General features: G+C 43.5%; 1 protein-coding gene, 1 long non-coding RNA gene and 1 pseudogene across 3 annotated transcripts in view; 1 reads left to right on the top strand and 2 right to left on the bottom strand.

Annotated features, from left to right (window-relative positions):
* LOC107984671 (uncharacterized) overlaps positions 1-17,677 on the top strand; it is a 74,578-nt gene that overhangs the window by 51,189 nt on the left and 5,712 nt on the right. The gene's annotated exons all lie outside the window — the stretch shown is intronic.
* EDDM3A (epididymal protein 3A) lies at positions 961-13,395 on the bottom strand. Of its 2 annotated transcripts, none has more exons than XM_017020934.3 (2): positions 13,326-13,395; positions 961-1,786 (listed from the first exon to the last, which is right to left on the bottom strand). In XM_017020934.3, the coding sequence occupies exon 2, from the start codon at positions 1,758-1,760 to the stop codon at positions 1,317-1,319; it is 444 nt and encodes a 147-aa protein (XP_016876423.1). In that variant the 5' UTR covers positions 1,761-1,786; positions 13,326-13,395; the 3' UTR covers positions 961-1,316. The 2 variants fall into 2 exon arrangements, with proteins under 2 accessions (XP_016876423.1, NP_006674.2); NM_006683.5 differs by lacking the exon at positions 13,326-13,395 and adding an exon at positions 3,349-3,454.
* EDDM3DP (epididymal protein 3D, pseudogene) lies at positions 13,990-14,782 on the bottom strand (annotated as a pseudogene).

Raw genomic sequence — 17,677 nt, 5'->3', positions numbered from 1 at the left:
TAATTTTTGTTTTTCTTTTGTAGAGACAGGGTTTTGCCATGTTGCCCAGGCTGGTCTCAAACTCCTGAGCTCAAGCGATCCAACCATCTCAGCCTCTGGGCTTTCACACTGTCTTAAGATGGAAAGTTAAACACACTTTTTAGAGTTGGAGAGAATTGAAAAACAACTATAAATAGAACAAGTCATGTGGTGGGGGGACAAAAGTGTAACCAATTAATTTGTTGTAACTCTTGAACCAGTCTGGTATAGAAAATGTAATCCTTTCTCACTTCTTTCTCTTTTTCCTACATAAAAAAGAACTTAACTTTTAACTTTGGAGTACTGACCCCATTTCTCTGGAATCTGTGTGCCACAGAATGTCCATTCCCAGCCTTTCACTTTAGTAAACTCTTTTTTTTTTTTTTTTTTTGAGATGGAGACGGAGTCTTGCTCTGTCATCCAGGCTGGAGTGCAGTGGCGTGATCTCGGCTCACTGCAACTTCTGCCTCCCAGGTTCAGGAGATTCTCCTGCCTCAGCCTCCCATAGCTAGAACTACAGGTATGTGCCACCAAGCCTGGCAAATTTTTGTACTTTTAGTAGAGACAGGGCCTTACCATGTTGGCCAGGCTGGTCTCAAACTCCTGACCTCAGGTGACCCACCTGTTTCAGCCTCCCAAAGTGCTGAAATTATGGGCATGAGTCACAGTGCCCAGCCCACTCCTTAAAACTGGATTTTGACCCTTTTGATTATTTCAAATTGCTACCACGATGAGTGCTTACATCACTACTTGTCTCCAGTTTAGCACACAATCATTTATATCCACATGATATACATAAACATATCACATACATTAGACACAGACACATAAAGTGCACATTAAACCCCTTGCACAGCCATAGGCAAAAATAGCCTAGATCACCGATACCCATACCAATCACACGATACATACTCTGCACACATAACATATATAAGCGTCACATACGTTAGAATAATATATTTTATTTAAGAAAAGGAGGGTCGTTCAGCTTGGGTAGGTATAAAGAGAGTCAATATCAGGAAAGTCTTAGGTTAGTCGAGGACAGATGCCATATGAGCTGAATCTTGGAAAAAATGTGGGTGTAAATTAGGCAAATTAGGACAAAATTGTATTACAGATACAGAAACCACACAAAGATTTGGTATCAAGAAATCACGAGGTACATAAACTCTAAGTAGTTGGAAAACACTGACACATAAATGTAAGCGGGGAGTGGCAGGGGCTATTGATGGAGGCAGGGCCCACCACTTTGGAAGCACTGAATACTCTACCAATATCTGAGGATGTGCATAGACTTTCTAGTTGCTGATAGGTTCTATAATCCTCAGGTCTTCTATGTTATCAACATATCCATCTACGCCACAATGGAATTCAATGTAGCTGAAGCTTCTGCTCTCTGTGTACCTATTGTTGTACTTCTCCCAGTGACACTCGAGTACTTTGAGGGCACCTGGGGCCCATACATATGCATTTCTATATCGGTCGCTCCCCTTCTCATTGATGCATGCACGCTGAATTTTGAACCATAAGCTATAGATGAACATATGAAAGCTCTTGCCTTTCAGAGCCTCTTTTTCTCTCATGAGGACATCACATTTGTACTCTTTGAATTCTCGACTTGGACTTAAGTAATGAAGTTTTATGAATTCTCTCCAGTAAATGTTGTTACTGTATACACACAGCCTGCAAAGGATGCAAAGCAGGGCCAAGAGTATGCCCCAAATCTTTAGAGAGGATGTCATCTCAGTCACCACGTCCACCTGCGTGTCTACAGGGAAGAGAAAGAAAAGCATTAACCAGACTATACTCAGAGAGCTGAGCTCCACCTTAAAATTCCTTTCCCTGCCAAGCAGGTACTTGGGCACTATATTGCTATTTGGTTCCATATTAGAAGATGATGATTCTCATTAAAGAATACAGTTTCTGGGCTGGGCACAGTGGCTTATACCCGTAATCCCAGCAGTTTGGGAGGCCAAGGTGGGTGTATCACCTGAGGTCAGGAGTTCGAGAAACACCGTGGCCAACATGGTGAAACCCCATCTCTACTAAAATACAAAAAGTAGCTGGACATGGTGGCTGTAGACCCAGCTACTCGAGAGGCTGAGGCAGGAGAATCGCTTGAACCTGGGAGGCGGAGGTTGCGGTGAGCCGACATCACACCTCTGCACTCCGGCCTGGGTGACAAAAGCAAAACTCCGTCTCAAAAAAAAAAAAAAAAAAGAATACAGTTTCTAAGAACTAAAAATATGCTTTAGCCTGTGAGAGCTAACACAAATTTGGAAAATATAGATAAAGTACCTTTTGAGAATTTCAAATATCTCCTGTCTACCCTGTCTTCTACCCAATTTGAGGAGCCAATCACTATCGAGCTCTCTTTTACCAAATAAGCTCTCAGGAGATCATGTGTCCAATAGAAAAATGACATTTTAAGCGTATTGTCTGCAAAGTGGAAAAGATTGTTGCATTTTAAGGGAATGTAGAAGATGAGTAACTACTTGGGAGGTGGTTCCTAGGCAGAAGGCATTGATTCTGGAAACCACAGCCCAGGCTGCAATTGCACTTCTCTGAAAAATGATGTTTTTCCAACCTTGACTTCCTTATAACACTTTCCCCAAAGTCTGGGTGAAACATGTGATCATTATTAACTATCGGCATCCCTTCTCAGAGGCCATTTCCCTAATTACTGCTATTACAAATGATCTTCATTTGTTAGAGCTTATTGACAATGCCATCATAAAAGGACATCAGTTTAGAACTGTTGCTGTAATCAATCAGGCACCAAAACTAAAACAGTCCCCCGCAGAGCTACTGTGGTCACAGCATAGGATGTATGGTCGTTTGAAAAAGTTATCTCTTTACCAGCTATCTGTCCTCATTTGCCATGAGGAGTATTCCTGGCCCTACTGAACCTCTAGCCTGATTCATAGCTCTGAGTATCGGTGTCCTCAGATAGGCCTAATCACAGCTCCCTACAGACCTGCAAGAGTCTAATGAGATGCAAGCATGTGAGAGCACTTCTAAAGATGTCAAATGCCCACATCAGGCACAGGGTTCCTCATCTGTGGAACCCTGTCCTGGTGATAAAGGCCTACACAAGATAGAAGAGTAGGATGCAAGCAGCTTTAATGCACTGTGCTTAGGAGGACTGGCGGTGAAGGAAGGGAGGGGCAGGGAAAAGCCTGTATCAGTGGGACTGAGGCTAACCAGAATTCAGACCTTTGTTTTCCATGATTTGGATCCTTCTCCATTGTTTGCTATCTAAAAGTTCAATCAGCCTCCTTCCAGTGTTCCTGGCTGTCCCCCGAGCAACCTCAGCAGAGCCCTTCTTACCCTACTTGGACTCTGAGTTCAGGTCACTGATTGTAGTGGGGATCAGCATGTGGATCTGAAGAGCAGAGTCTGCGTCCTCCTCCTTTTCTCAGAGCCCTGGAAATCTACAGCAGTGGAGAAAGGAATAGTAGGGGGAGCTGCAGGGCTCCAGCTGATTGGTAGCCGAGGTGGTGATGGGGAACAGCCTTATTATGTGAACTTGTCCCTGTATCGTTTCATCTGGAACACTTGGGCTCACTCAAACAGTAGCCTCGAGCAAAGGCTACAAACATCAAAGGCTGAGCCCTGGGTACAAAATGATTGCAAGACCCTAGGTGACCCCAGAAAAGGGTTATCTGGTGCTATCAGGAGACAACCAGAGACTTAGCTCTGCTCTCAATTCTAACAAACTTCTGGGGAAGTCCCTGGAGGGTTATGCTATGTTACATGGGAACTTCACTGAGGAAAGCCACCTTTTTTTTTTTTTTGAGATGGAGTCTCGCTCTGTTGCCCAGGCTGGAGTGCAGTGGCGAGATCTCGGCTCACTGCAAGCTCCGCCTCCCGGGTTCACCCCATTCTCTTGCCTCAACCTCCTGAGTAGCTGGGACTATAGGCGCCTGTCACCACGCCCAGCTAATTTTTTGTATTTTTAGTAGAGACGGGGTTTCACCGTGTTAGCCAGGATGGTCTCGATCTCCTGACCTCATGATCTGCCTGCCTCAGCCTCCCAAAGTGCTGGGATTACAGGTGTGACTCGCTGTGCCTGGTCTTTTGCCTTTTTTTTTTTTTTGACAGGGTCTTGCTCTGTCGCCCAGGCTGGAGTGCAGTCGCACAAACACTGCTCCCTGCAGTCTCAACCTGCCAGGCTCAAGCAATCCTCCCACCTCAGCCTCTTGAGTAGCTGGGACTATAGGCATGCAACACCATGCCTGGCTAGTTTTTTGTATTAATTTTTGTAGAGACAGGGTTTCACCATGTTGGCCAGGTTGGTCTTGAACTCCTGAGCCTAGCTAAGCCTCAACACATCAGCCTCTAAAAGTGCTGGGATTACAGGCATGAGCCACTTGGTCAGGCCAGAAAATCACTTTTAATGTTGTGAATTGTGAGACCTTCATTGAGAGGTGAAAGAATATCTAGTGAACACAGTGGCCAAATAGCTATGAATGATTAGGTAGCCAGTATCTGAAATTTCTCTACTCAGTTTTTTAATTATAACCTTTAGCTGTTTGGTGACACTGTACTGCTTACTATTAAAATGTCACATAGCCTGGCCATAGTTTCTACAATGCTACTATACGTAACATCTGACTGTGAAGTATAGGTCACAAGGTGCTGGCTAAGTTGTTTTTCAGGACCTCAAGATTCAGTCCTGAACTCAGCTCAAACTGACAAGACCACAACTTCTTCAACTGAGTTTGTGCAAGTGTTCAATGGTTACCTTTAACATCACAGCCGGAATTTTCCACCATATTTTCCATGCCAACTCCCCACAAATTGGCAAATGTGACCAATACTGGTTCATCAACACTAGTCAAAGTTACGATTTATGAATAAAGTAAGACTCTTGCAAATCTTTTCTAACAACACTTCCAAAGGCTGCTCCTAGCCAAACCACCTTAGTTGATTTTCTCACTGGGCCACCTTATTGTTGGAATGACAGAAGGTTCAGTTTATATCCAGAACTTATCTTCAAACCCCCACTCCTGTGAAGCAGTCCTTGAGTAATAGAAAATCATGTGCTGATAGACTGGATGGACGGGAGATAGTCTTAGAGCAGGTTCTGTGCATCCTTCTACTCTCTAGGTCTTTGGGGGACAGGGGAGAGCAAAACAGGAACAATTCTGGGCCTCTGAATTTGGATGATTTGAGAGGCGATTCTGAGGGAAAATCAGTTTTTTGTCATGTGCCCACACATCCAGAGCTCTTTCCAACAAATGTGCATTGTCTATTGAAGACAAATTCAAGTAGTGACTCAATGAATGTAGAGAGGTGGGAGAGAGAAGCCACCTGAGCCAATGTATGAGCCAGTGTTTCTCAAATACTTGATATTCCACTTTTAATATGGAAAAAAAATCATGGACTCCAAGCATACATCCATGAACTCTCCTATGAGCTAAGCCCAAAGTCCTAAAGCTTTTTGGATATAAACCCAATTAGGAGGCCATCTAAACTAAACTGGGGAAAAGCATATTGTTATATTTACAGAAATTAGCCACTATGAATGCAGCCCAGGAAGGTAACCCAACCAGTATTTCTGGAAACTACGTAATGGGTCTACTTCCTAGGGTTGTCTACCAGCTTGTGTAACAGAAGCTCCTTGGGCAGTGACTTTTGATTTCGGTTTTTAAGGAGGTATTCCCCTTTAAATATAAATTTTAAATCACTTGAAAATTATGTTCATCCTTTATTGTCTTTGATTTTAATTATTTTCTGTTAATTCCTTGATATGTCCTTTTATTATTATTATTATTATTTTTGGAATGGAGTTTCACTCTTGTCGTCCAGGCATGATCTCAGCTCACTGGAACCTCTGCCTCCTGGGTTCAAGTGATTCTCTTGCCTCAGCCTTCTGCGTAGCTGGGAGTACAGGTGCGCACCAACACATCCGGGTAATTTTTGTATTTTTAGTAGAAACAGGGTTTTGCCATGTTGGCCAGACTGATCTCAAACTCCTGACCTCAGGTGATCCACCCGCCTTGGCCTCTCAAAGTGCTGGGATTAAAAGCGTGAGCCACCGCACCAAGCCAATATTTCTTTTGTTAGCCACTATTCAATTCTTAAATGTTTGTGAACTACTGTTTCACAAAACCATAAAAGTGACTTAGGTTCCTCATTCAGGGGATGACAACGTCTATAGGTGTCTTAATCTGTGATCCACGGACTTCCAAGGGCTCCATGGATGGAATTCATAGGATCAATGCAGTAGTGCAGTGCAGAAAATTACATCTCTATTTTCACTCACCCATATTGAAATGTAGGGGCTGGGCATAGTGGCTCACACCTGTAATCCCAACACTTGAGAAGGTCAAAGTGGGAGGATCACTTGAGCTCACGAGTTTGAGACCAGCCTGGGCAACACAGGGAGAAACCCTATCTCTACAGAAAATTAAAACAATTAGTTGGGTGTGGTGGCACATGCCTGTAGTCCCAGCTACTTAGGAGGCTGAGGTGGGAGGATCACTTGAGGCCAGGAGTTGAAAACCAGCCTGGTCAACATAATGATAACCTGACTCTACCAAAAAAAAAAAAGAAAAATTTTTAAGGCCAGTAGTGGTAGCACGTGCCTGTAACCTCAGCTACTTGGGAAACGGAGGCAGGAAGATTGCTTGAGCTTAGAAGTTTAAGGCTGGACTGAGCTATGATAGCACCAGCCTGGGTGACTGAGTGAGACCCTGTCTCTCAAAAACAAAACAAAACAAACATAACAAAAACTAAAAAAAAACCCAAAACCCTAACCCCATACTCCTTGAGACACAGATGAGAAGATGAATGTAGGCATCAGGCCACACACCTATCGTGGTTACACGAGGATTCCCTTGGAGAGAGATAATGGTGGCTGTATTTTCACAATGCTCTGCTTTAGTCAGTTAAGAGAAGTCCAGATAAGATTTCTTACGCGAGGACCAGCAAGGTCTGTTGAGTACAAAGACTGGAGGAAATCAGACAACAAAAACTGAATACTTCCTCATACCTCTTCTCTCAGGTGGTATTGTTTAAGACTCAGCAGTGTGGTTCCCTCATATACTTTGACTGGTCCTGGGACTGCAGACTTAGCACTATCTGGTTTCCCATCTGCCCAGGATGGGAATCAGTACCCACCTCTTGTAGGAATTCTTCAGGGATGAGAGAGAAATTCTGAGCCAGTTGCTGCAACAATGCAGCTTGCAAGGTACGGGCTTGATCTGGGGACACTGTAATATTCACCCATCCTGGGGAAAAGGTAATATTTGCATTCAGTTCAGTCAAGAGATGATGTCCCAAGAAATCGATAAGGTATTCAGGCATATGTAAGAAGTGACGCTTTAGGCAAGTCTGTCACAGTTGGAAATCTAGGGGTTGCAGGAATGGTTCTTTTAGGGTCTCCTCTAAAACTGCCTTCACTTTCATAGTTTCAGAAGACAATTTGAACAAGTGTGTGTTTACTACTGAGTAGGTGGCACTGGTATCTACTAGAAAGGCTAAAAGTTGATTTCTCAGCATCATAATGACCCAGGGCTCCACATGGGAAATATGGAGGGTACTAGCTGGGTCAGAGGCTGCCCTCGGGCCCCATCATTTTTGATCCTTATTACAGAAGTTCTTAGCCCCAGATCCCTGAGATATTTCAGGCATTTGGTGAATTGGAAATTGATTTTCCCATTATTGGCCCCTTTGTGGTTTGGTCAGTCTTTTTTCCAATGGCCTTCCTGTCTGTAGTTGGCACATGGAGTTCAGTAAGTAGAGTGTTTCTACTTATAGGGAGCCTGGGTCCCAGGGGGTCCTAACTTATGTGGGGCTCCTATGGTGGGTCCGTGCCATGGTCCGAGGGTTCCTTAAGCAGCTGCTAGCAAGGTGGCTTGCTGCTACATGTTTTATAGTTCTCTTTGGTTCAGACCAGGTCTCTGCCGGTGAACACCCTTGTTTCTACCATTTGAGACAAAGATATGTCCAGTGCCCCTTCAACTTGTTGCAAATTTCACTGGATGTCAGGGACACTCTGGCTAATAAATGTCATGTTTATCCTCTTTAAATTTTCTGAGGCCTTCGGACCAATATCAGTGTATTCCTTGAACACTTCCAAATGCAGTCCAGAAAACTTGAAGGGCTTTCATTGGGCTTATGCCTTACTTCCTGAACTTTCTTAAGGCTCATCTGCTTGGGCATGCCCTTTCAGAGTTCAGGTTTGAACATTGGTCCAGGTAGGATTATGGGATATAGGATATAGAAGAAAATAATATAGAAGAGAACAAATTTTCCATTGGCTTTGGATCCTCTCAATAGGTAGCAATACTGTTTTTCAAATTTTATAAATAAGAAATAGAGAATGGAGAGTGTACCCAAATAAGCCCCATGGGTTGCCCTGTGTCAGCGTCAACACCTCCTGTAGGTAATTATTGAAGGGAAAATCGTCCTGCTGGAGCTAAAGTGGTTCCCTGGCCAAATTAGGTCCTCTGACAGGTGTGAGAAGAGGAGGCCATTCCTGCATCTTGTCATTCCTGGCCTCCTGGTCAAGTGCCGGTGGCCTGGCCATAGCTCCTTCACCAGGTGAAGGAGGGAGAGCCAACAGCAGTGAGCCGAGATTGCACCACTGCATTCCAGCCTCAGTGACAGAGCGAGATTCTGTTTAAAAACAAGCAAACAAGCAAACAAACAAAACAAAACAAAAAAACAGATTTCAGAACTGAAACCCAAAGAGCCCAGGAATAGTTCCACTGTACGTCCCTATGTGCTCCTTCCAATTGGTAAAAATGTCCTTGAGCAGGGCCCTTTGTGAAGGAGGGACAACAGGACCTCCAAAGAGGTGACAGGACCTCTAAGAAGGCCAGCAGATCAGGAGAAGGAAAAGAGGATGTTGGAACACTTACCAGAGATGTTTTCCCATTCTGGAAACCCCTTCTCCCCTGCAAGTGAGCCTGAGCTGAAAGTTGGCAGTGCCATGCTGGCAAAAACTCCAGATACTTTGGTGAATCTCCAGGTTTGCTACAGCAGCAAGAGAGTATCGAACCATGGACAAATGCCCATGAGGACCCTCCAGGCTAGCTCTCCACTAAACTTTAACCATAATAGATTCCTTGCCTTATGCCCAGCAAGTCAACATACTGAGATAATGGTGATAGCAGCAGAGAAATAGTGTAATATTTTTATGACAGTCAGACAAGGAGATGGGAGGAAAAGTCAAATCCACCTCTCCAAGAGGTTTAGGGTAGGGTTTGTGAGGGGTCTGGACAGCGGCTGAAGTGTAGGGATTTTTGATTCTTGAGAAGTGAGGAGTGCAGTCTTGGGACAGGGAGATGCCAAAGGTGCATTCTTCTGAGCCAGTTGCATGGTGGGGGTCTTCAGACTGGTTGGTGTCAGTCTTTCCACTAGAGTTCAGAATCTGAAATGCCTGAAGCAATTCTTGAGCAAAAAAGACCCACGATTCTTGTTTGTGAGTTTCTACCTATAGGAACAATGGGGGAGCAGGTGGTCAGCATGCTATGTGACTCTTGGTTAGTTAGCAGCTGCAGGGAAGCTGCTCCAAGTGGACCAGCATGCAATGATTAATGTGTAACTATAATTTTTCCTGCTTTGATGAGCTGTTAATCCTTTCAGTGTATTATTATCATTAGAGAACTGCAAATTAACACAATGGATGTGATAATACTACACATCTATTAGAATGGCTGAAATGCAATACAAACTGACATCACCAAAGCTGGTGAGGATGCAGAGCAACACAAATACTAATTGACAGGACTTTGTATCTGGGGCATATTTTAGGGTGCCATATATTTATGTCCTACAAAAGAAGGTTCAGTTAGCCTAGCTTGGATCTCATGACAATTGCTTGGCTTAGCAGAAGGGACTGCAAGCCTTAGTGGACAGCCTCACCTATAAGGTCCACAAAAGAGGAAGACAGGTCCCTAAGGAAATTAATGTGCAGCTATCCAAATAAGGGATGGATATCAGGAAAGCTAGAGCTTATAAAGCTCTGATATTTATCCCTGATTTGGGTAGCTGCATATTCATTCATTTCTGTATCAGCTTCACATTCCACTGATATACAAACCTAATATACTAATTGCCCTTAAATGCACTTTCCTCCTATACTGTTTTGAATTACCATCTGCTTACCCTTTAGTAAAAGCAACTTTTAAAGAGCTACTTACATGAGAAATTTGTGAGAATCTACTATAGGAGATCAGAATATGCCGCCACAAGGTATGCTCTGTAACGTAAAGATTATTTTGGACTGCTTATTTTGAGAAACAGTATACACAAGACAAGCTCTGAAAATAGAGTATGCATTGGCCTTTTGTAAGGGTAACGTGCATTCATAAGGGAAACCTCCATTCTTATGGATGTCTCCTTCTCTGTGCCAGATAGAGAAAGGTGACTCTAAATCACAAGAGACCCTTCTCAGTGGAGAAGATACTGACTTAAATCTGTATGACCAAACTTTCCCTCATTTACTATACTTTTCCTGGTCATCTCCCTATGACTTGCTCCCCACATGCATTTTCCTTTGCATTAGCTGAAGATGGCATTTAGCCATCTAAATAGCTGAAGATGGCACTCTAGCCACCTCTGTGAGATACTCTCTGAGTTTCTCCCATGTATACGTGAGATACACATGTTACCACATTCTGTTTGTTTTTCTTCCGTTAATCTGACTTTTCTTATAGGGGCCCCAGCTAAGATCCTAAAAGGGTAGAAGGAAAATTTTTTCCTCCCTTACACTATATTTTGAAGAGTATTTATCAAATGAGAAAAATAATTAGTATTTTTCCCCATATGTAAATTGACCATTGAGGAGGAGCTACTGTTTATTTATTTATTTATTTATTTATTTATTTATTTATTTTGAGACAGAGTCTCACTCTGTCACCAGGCTGGAGTGCAATGGCACAATCTCGGCTCACTGCAATCTCTGCCTCCCAAATTCAAGCGATTATTCTGCCTCAGCCCCCCGAGTAGCTGGGACTACAGACACATGTCGCCACGCCCGGCTAATTTTTGTATTTTTGTAGAGATGAGGTTTCACCATGTTGGCCAGCATGGTCTCAATCTCTTGACCTTGTGATCCGCCTGCTTCGGCCTCCCAAAGTGCTAGGATTACAGGCGTGAGCCACCATGCCTGGCCTTGCTACTGGTTTGATACTAATCTCTTCTGACTTTGGTTAGTAGAGATTGTCATCCCCAGGTGTCTGTTCCTCCCCAGGTGCACTCAAAAATTGCAAAGTTGAGGAACTGCATTTGGAACATGATGACCAATGTAGATACACTGACTCCTCATTGAGACCAGAGTTCTAAAAAAGTGCGCAGTCACCTCATAAATAATGTTGATACTTTGGTCTTTTCTCTAATTGTTTCAAGGCCAGAGCCATTCAACATTGCAGGACGCTGAAGAACACAAGTTACTTTAATGTTTAGCACTTTTCCACCCCATACCGGACCTGGACAAAATTATATGAAGCAAGCATTTCTTACTTTGTATCTCTCTCCTACAGTTAGCAAACAGAATTTCACATAGTTCCTACTTGCCTGTGAACCCAACGTGTCTTTCTCCTATTTCCTTTCTCATTCATTCCATGAACAAAATTTAGGTCTTAAGTCCATTGTTGAGGACCATTGTATTTTAAAGTCCTCCAACCTTCTCCCTATGTTTCTGCCAAGCGAACATGATTATTATCAGATAAAATCATTTGTGCTAATATCTTCTACTTGATGTGTCATCCTTAGGAAAGGTAACACCTTAGCCCGGCAAACATGCATTGAACTTCTTAGAAACCTTCTTAAGGAACTGAGTCTAGTGGAGATATCTGTGAGTGTATGGTTGATAGAGGAGGTGTTCTTTCTCATCCCGCGTGTGTATAGCTTACATACAGATGACAGCCTACTGTAGTTTTGTATTAGAAATCCTTGGCATGTACGAGGTCCCCAGTTCACTCTCCGGCACCTCTACCAGTTTTGGGCTGGGTGTGGTGGCTCACACCTGTAACCCCAGGACTTTGGGAAGCCGAGGTGGGCAGATCACTATCACTTGAGGTCAGGAGTTTGAGACCAGCCTGGCCAACATGGCGAAACCCCATCTCTACTAAAAATACAAAAAAATTAGTGGGACGTGGTGTTGCGCACCTGTAATCCTGAGTTACTCGGAGGCTAAGGTAGAAGAATTGCTTGAACCCAGGAGGCAGAGGTTACAGTGAGCCGAGATTGCACCATTGCACTCCAGCCTGGGCAACAAAGGCTAAACTCTGTCTCAAAAAAAAAAAAAAAAGGAAAAAGAAAAGAAAAGAAAAGAAAGAAGTCTGCATCTCTAGGCCAGGCCTGGTGGCTCACGCCTATAATCCTAGCACTTTGAGAGTCCAAGGCAAGCAGATTCCCTGAGCTCAGGAGTTTGAGATCAGCCTCGGCAACATGGCAAAACCCTGTCTCTACTAAAAAATACAAAAAATTAGCCAGGCATGGTGGCTCACGCCTATAATCCCAGCTACTAGAGAGGCTGAAGCAGGAGAATCACTTGAACCCAGCAGGAGGAGATTACAGTGAGCTGAAATCGTGCCACTGCACTCCAGCCTGGGTGACAGAGTGAGACTCTGTCTTAAAAAAATAAATAAATAAAAAATAAAAGAAATCCCCATCTCCAGAGTCAGGGACAGAAATGGTTGATGGGCACTTGTTATGTTTGTTTATCAAAGTCAAAATTAAAGTAGAAAACCAAAGAGTAATATGAGAAAGGAAAGAATTTTTACTGAGCAACTACCATAAGCCAGGAATCATGCCACATGTTTTATACCCAGTCAGCTCTGCCTTTACCCAAGAAACTGAGTGGAACTAAGCATGTTACCACCGTGAAAGTAATTCATTCAAAATATAAGCTGTTGGAACTCTATATTATTTTGAACCTTAAAATGTGATGATGGGCGGAGCGTGGTGGCTCATGCCTGTAATCCCAGCACTTTGGGAGGCCGAGGTGGGAAAATCACCCGAGGTCGGGAGTCTGAGACCAGCCTGGCCAACATGGTGAAACCCAGTCTTCACTAAAAATACAAAAATTAGCTGGGCATGGTGACATGCTCCTGTAATTCCAGCTACTCAGGAAGCTGTGGCAGGATAATCGCTAGAAACCTGGAGGTGGAGGATGCAGTGAGCCAAGATCTGGCCACTGCACTCCAGCCTGGGTGACAGAGTGAGACTCTGTCTCAAAGAAAAAAAAAAAAAAAAGTGATGATGGGGCCTGAGTCACATACTAGGCAGCTGTAACCAAGGCAGGTGTACCTTGGTTTCTCTGATTAGAGATTAAGACACTTTCTTACCTGCATTGTTGTGTGAAATGTAAAATGACTGAAGTGGGCCAGGGAAGACTCATTCCACTCCACTGCTGATCTTCATTATGGATGAACTCCCCTCTTCTGTTTTTGATGTAAAGACTTCATTGCTATCACATCGTCTTGAGATGGAATGTTAAATACACTCTTTTAAAATTGGAACAGAAATGAAGCACAGCTATGAATAAATGAAAACAAGTCATGAGGTTGGGCACAAATCTGTAACTAATTAATTTGTTGTAACTCTTGAACCAGCCTGGCATAGAAAATATTGTAATCCTTTTGAATTTCTTTGTCTTTTTCCTACATTAGCAAAAACTTAACTTTCTCTGGAGTTTGTGTGTCACAGAGTGGCCATTCCCATCTTTTCACTTTAATAAAATCATTAAAACTGGATTATGACCTTTTTGATTATATCAAATTGTCAACACAATCAGTGTCTACATCACAGTTTGTCTCCAGCTTAGCCTATAATCATTTACATCCTCATGATATACACAAACATATCCCATGCACAGACACAGTCACATAAAATGTGACCTTGCACAGCATAAGTCACAGGCAAACATATCCTAGATCTCACACACCCATACCAATTACATGATACTTACTTTACACACATCATATGTAGAATGTCACACATTTTGGCATAATACGATTTATTTAGGGAAAGGAAGATCATCCACCTTGGGTAGGTTTAGAGTGAATATCAGGAAAAATCTTGGTTAGTAAAGATCAGATGCATTACGAGCTGAATCTTGACAAACATGTAGGAGTAAATTAGGTAAATGAAGACAAAAGTGTATTCCAGGCAGAGAAACAACACAGGCGAGGTTATGGTATCAAGAAATCATGCGTTTCATAATTCTAAGTTTTGGAAAACACGGATGCATAAGTGCAAGTGGGGAGTGTCAGGGGCTATTGATGGAGGCAGGGGCCACCACTCGGGAAGCACTGAATACCAATCCCTGAGGATGTGCATGGACCTTCTAGTTACTGATAGGCTCCACCATCCTCAGGTCTCCTATGCTATCAACATACCCATCCTTGCCACAGTGGAATTCAATGTAGTTGAAGATCTCTGTGTAGCTATTGCAGTACTTCTGCCACTGACACTCGAGTACTTTGAGGGCACCCTGGGCCCATACATAGGCATATCTATATCGGTTATTCCCATTTCAATAATGCATATACACTCCATTTTGTGCCATAAGCTATAGATGGACATATGAGAGCTCTTGCGTTTCAGAGCTTCTTTTTCTCTCGTGAGGACATCACATTTGTACTCTTCAAAATCTTGGCTTGGATCTAAATAGTGCAGGGTCATGAATTCTCTCCAGGAAACGTCCTTGCTGTGTACAAGTAGCCTGCAAAGAATGCAAAGCAGGGCCAAGGGACTGCCCCAGATCTTCAGAGAGGATGCCATTTCAGTCACCAGGGACACCTGCGTGTCCACAGGGAAAAGAAAGAAAAGCATCATGTAGACAATGTCCAGAGAGCTGACCTTTATCTTAAAGTTCTGTTTCCTGCCAATGCAAGCACTCAGCACAATTTTACTATTTGGTTCCCTGATTAGAAGATAATTCTCATAAGAGAATAAAGTTTCTAAGAACTAAAAGTATGCTTCATCTTATGTGAGCCAAACACAAAGTTGGAAAAAAATAGATGAAGTTCATTTTGAGAATTTCAAACATCTCCTGTCTACTCTGTCATCCACCCAACCTGCACTGGGTAGAATCACCCAATCACCCTCCAGCTGGCTTCTTTTCATCAGATCAACTCTCAGGAAGTCACGCATGCAATAGAAAATGGCATTTTAAGCTTTTTGTCTGCGAAGTGGAAAGGGCTGTAACTTTTTTTTGCACATTAAATATTAAAGTTTATTAAAAATTGCTCATATTGAAAAACAAAGACATCAATTATACCCACCCCCGCCAACACACAACAAATACACAATCCAGACACAATTATGTTGCTAGTGTCAGCTCAAAATTATTAAGCAAATACTGAAATGTAGATAAGTTCCAGAAAATAGCAAGCAGAGCCTAGAAAACATTTATAAAGCTCTTAGTTGTCATGGTAACAGATAAACTCTGGTATCTGAAATTGTAGAAATCAGAAGTTCAACATTCGTGTGACATTACTTTTCTATGGTTTTTCAAGGGATAAGAGGGAAACTTTTCCAATTAAGTTGTTCCAGGGCCTTCTTGAATTTAACAGATGGCTGTTGCAAAGACATTAATTGAGGTTGTAGGACAAGGGATACGTGGATATTTCCGTTCCCAAAAGAAGTGAGTAGATCTAAAGGCAGAGACTGACTTCCAGGTTAGGCAGCCTGCAGAGCTAGTGCTGATCCATCCTCCTCTATCATGCCCCCCATGAGAGCCATAAACACATGGATGCTGGAGGCAATGCTGTTTTTTGATTCCTGTTTTCATGCATTGCTCACAAGCTGCAGATGCATGCCATGGGCACTGTTGCCTGCCCTCCCCCTCTCCTTGCTCTCCAGGGATGTGCCTTTGCTAATGTACCAGTCAGGATGCTTTTGCTTCCTTTCTTCCTGTCTGGGTCTTCGTCAGCATCTTCTGAGTAATGAGGCTGCTGCTGGGCGGTTCCAGAGACTCCACTTTGGTTCCATCTGGCTGGGGAGGTCTCACAATCATGGCAGATGGCAAAGAGGAGAAAGTTACATCTTATGTGGATGACAGCAGGCAAAAAGAGCAGGGCTGTCACATTTTAGACGAGTGTAGAAGATGAGTGACTACTAGGCAGGTGGTTCTTAGGCAGGAAGGCTTTGATTCTCTGAAATCACAGCCCAGGCTACAATTACACTGACTCTGCAAAATGATGCTTCTCCAATATCTTGACTTCCTTATAACACTTCTCCCAAAGCCTGGGTGGAACATATGGTTACTACTAACTACCCGTATTCCTTCTCAGGGGCCATTCCCCTAATTATCACTATTACAAGTGATCTTCATTTGTCAGAGCTGCTTATTGACGATGCCATCGTAAAAGGACACCAGTTTAGAAATATAGCTGTACTCAATTAGGCATAAAGACTAAAAAAGTCCCCACCGGAGCTACTGTGGTCACAGCCTAGGATGTATGGTTGTTTGAAAAAGTTACCTCTTTAAACAAGCTCTCTGTCCTCATTTGCCATGAGGAGTGTTCCTGGCCCTACTGAACCTCTAACCTGATTCACAGCTCTGAGTATCGGTGTCCTCACCGATGTAGGGCCTAATAACAGCTCCCTACAGACCTGTGAGAGTCTAATGAGATGCATGTATGCGAGAGCACTTCTAACAATGTCAAATGCTCACCTCAGACACAGAACAAAGGGTCGGCGCTTCCTATCTGTGGAACCCTGTCCTGGTGATAAAGACCTACACATGTTAGGAGAGTAGGATGCAAGCAGCTTTAATGCATTGTGGTTGAGGTGACTGGGGGTGAAGGAAGGGAGGGGCAGGGAAAAGCTTGTATCAGTGGGAATGAGGCTGACTGGAATTCAGGCCTTAGTTTTCCATGATTTGGATCCTTCTCCATTCTTTGCTATCTAAAAGCTCAATCAGGCTGGGGGCAGTGGCTCACACCTGTAATCCCTGCACTTTGGGAGGCCGAGGCAGGTGGATCACTTGAGGTCAGGAGTTTGAGACCAGCTTGGCCAACGTAGTGAAACCCCATCTCTACTAAAAATACAAAAAAATTAGCCTGGCACGGTGGCGTGTGCCTGTAACCCCAGCTACTCAGGAGGCTGAGGCAGGAGAGTCACTTGAACTCGGGAGGCGAAGGTTGTAGTGAGCCAAGATAGTGCCACTGCACTCGAGCCTGGGTGACAAAGCAAGACTCCATCTCAAAAAATTAATACTAGGCCGGGCGTGGTGGCTCACGCCTGTAATCCCAGCACTTTGGGAGGCCAAGGTGGGTGGATCACTTGAGGTCAGGAGTTCGAGACCAGCCTGACCAACATGGTGAAACCCCATCTCTACTAAAAATACAAAATTACCTGGGCGTGGTGGCATGCACCTGTAATCCCAGCTACTAGGGAGGGTGAGGCAGGAGAATTGTTTGAACCTGGGAGGCAGCGGTTGCAGTGAGCCAAGATTGTGCCACTGCACTCCAGCCTGGGCAACAAGAGCAAAACTCTGTCTAAAAAAAGAAAAAAAATTAATACTAACAAATAAATAAAAATAAAAGTTCAATCAGCCTCCTGCCAGTGCTCCTAGTCATCCCCCGAGGGTCCTCAGCAAAGCAGTTCTTACCCTACTCAGACTCTGAGTTCAGGTCACTGGTTATAGTGGGGTTCAATGTGTAGATCTGAAGAGCAGAGTCTGCATCCT

This window comes from Homo sapiens, chromosome 14, assembly GCF_000001405.40.
Source record: "Homo sapiens chromosome 14, GRCh38.p14 Primary Assembly".
NCBI lineage: Eukaryota > Metazoa > Chordata > Mammalia > Primates > Hominidae > Homo > Homo sapiens.
This window is presented reverse-complemented; position numbering and strand designations above follow the sequence as displayed.

Bases quoted from the DNA above. Each gene is read 5' to 3' on its own strand.
- EDDM3A (XM_017020934.3), bottom strand. From the start codon at position 1,760: ATGACATCCTCTCTAAAGATTTGGGGCATACTCTTGGCCCTGCTTTGC.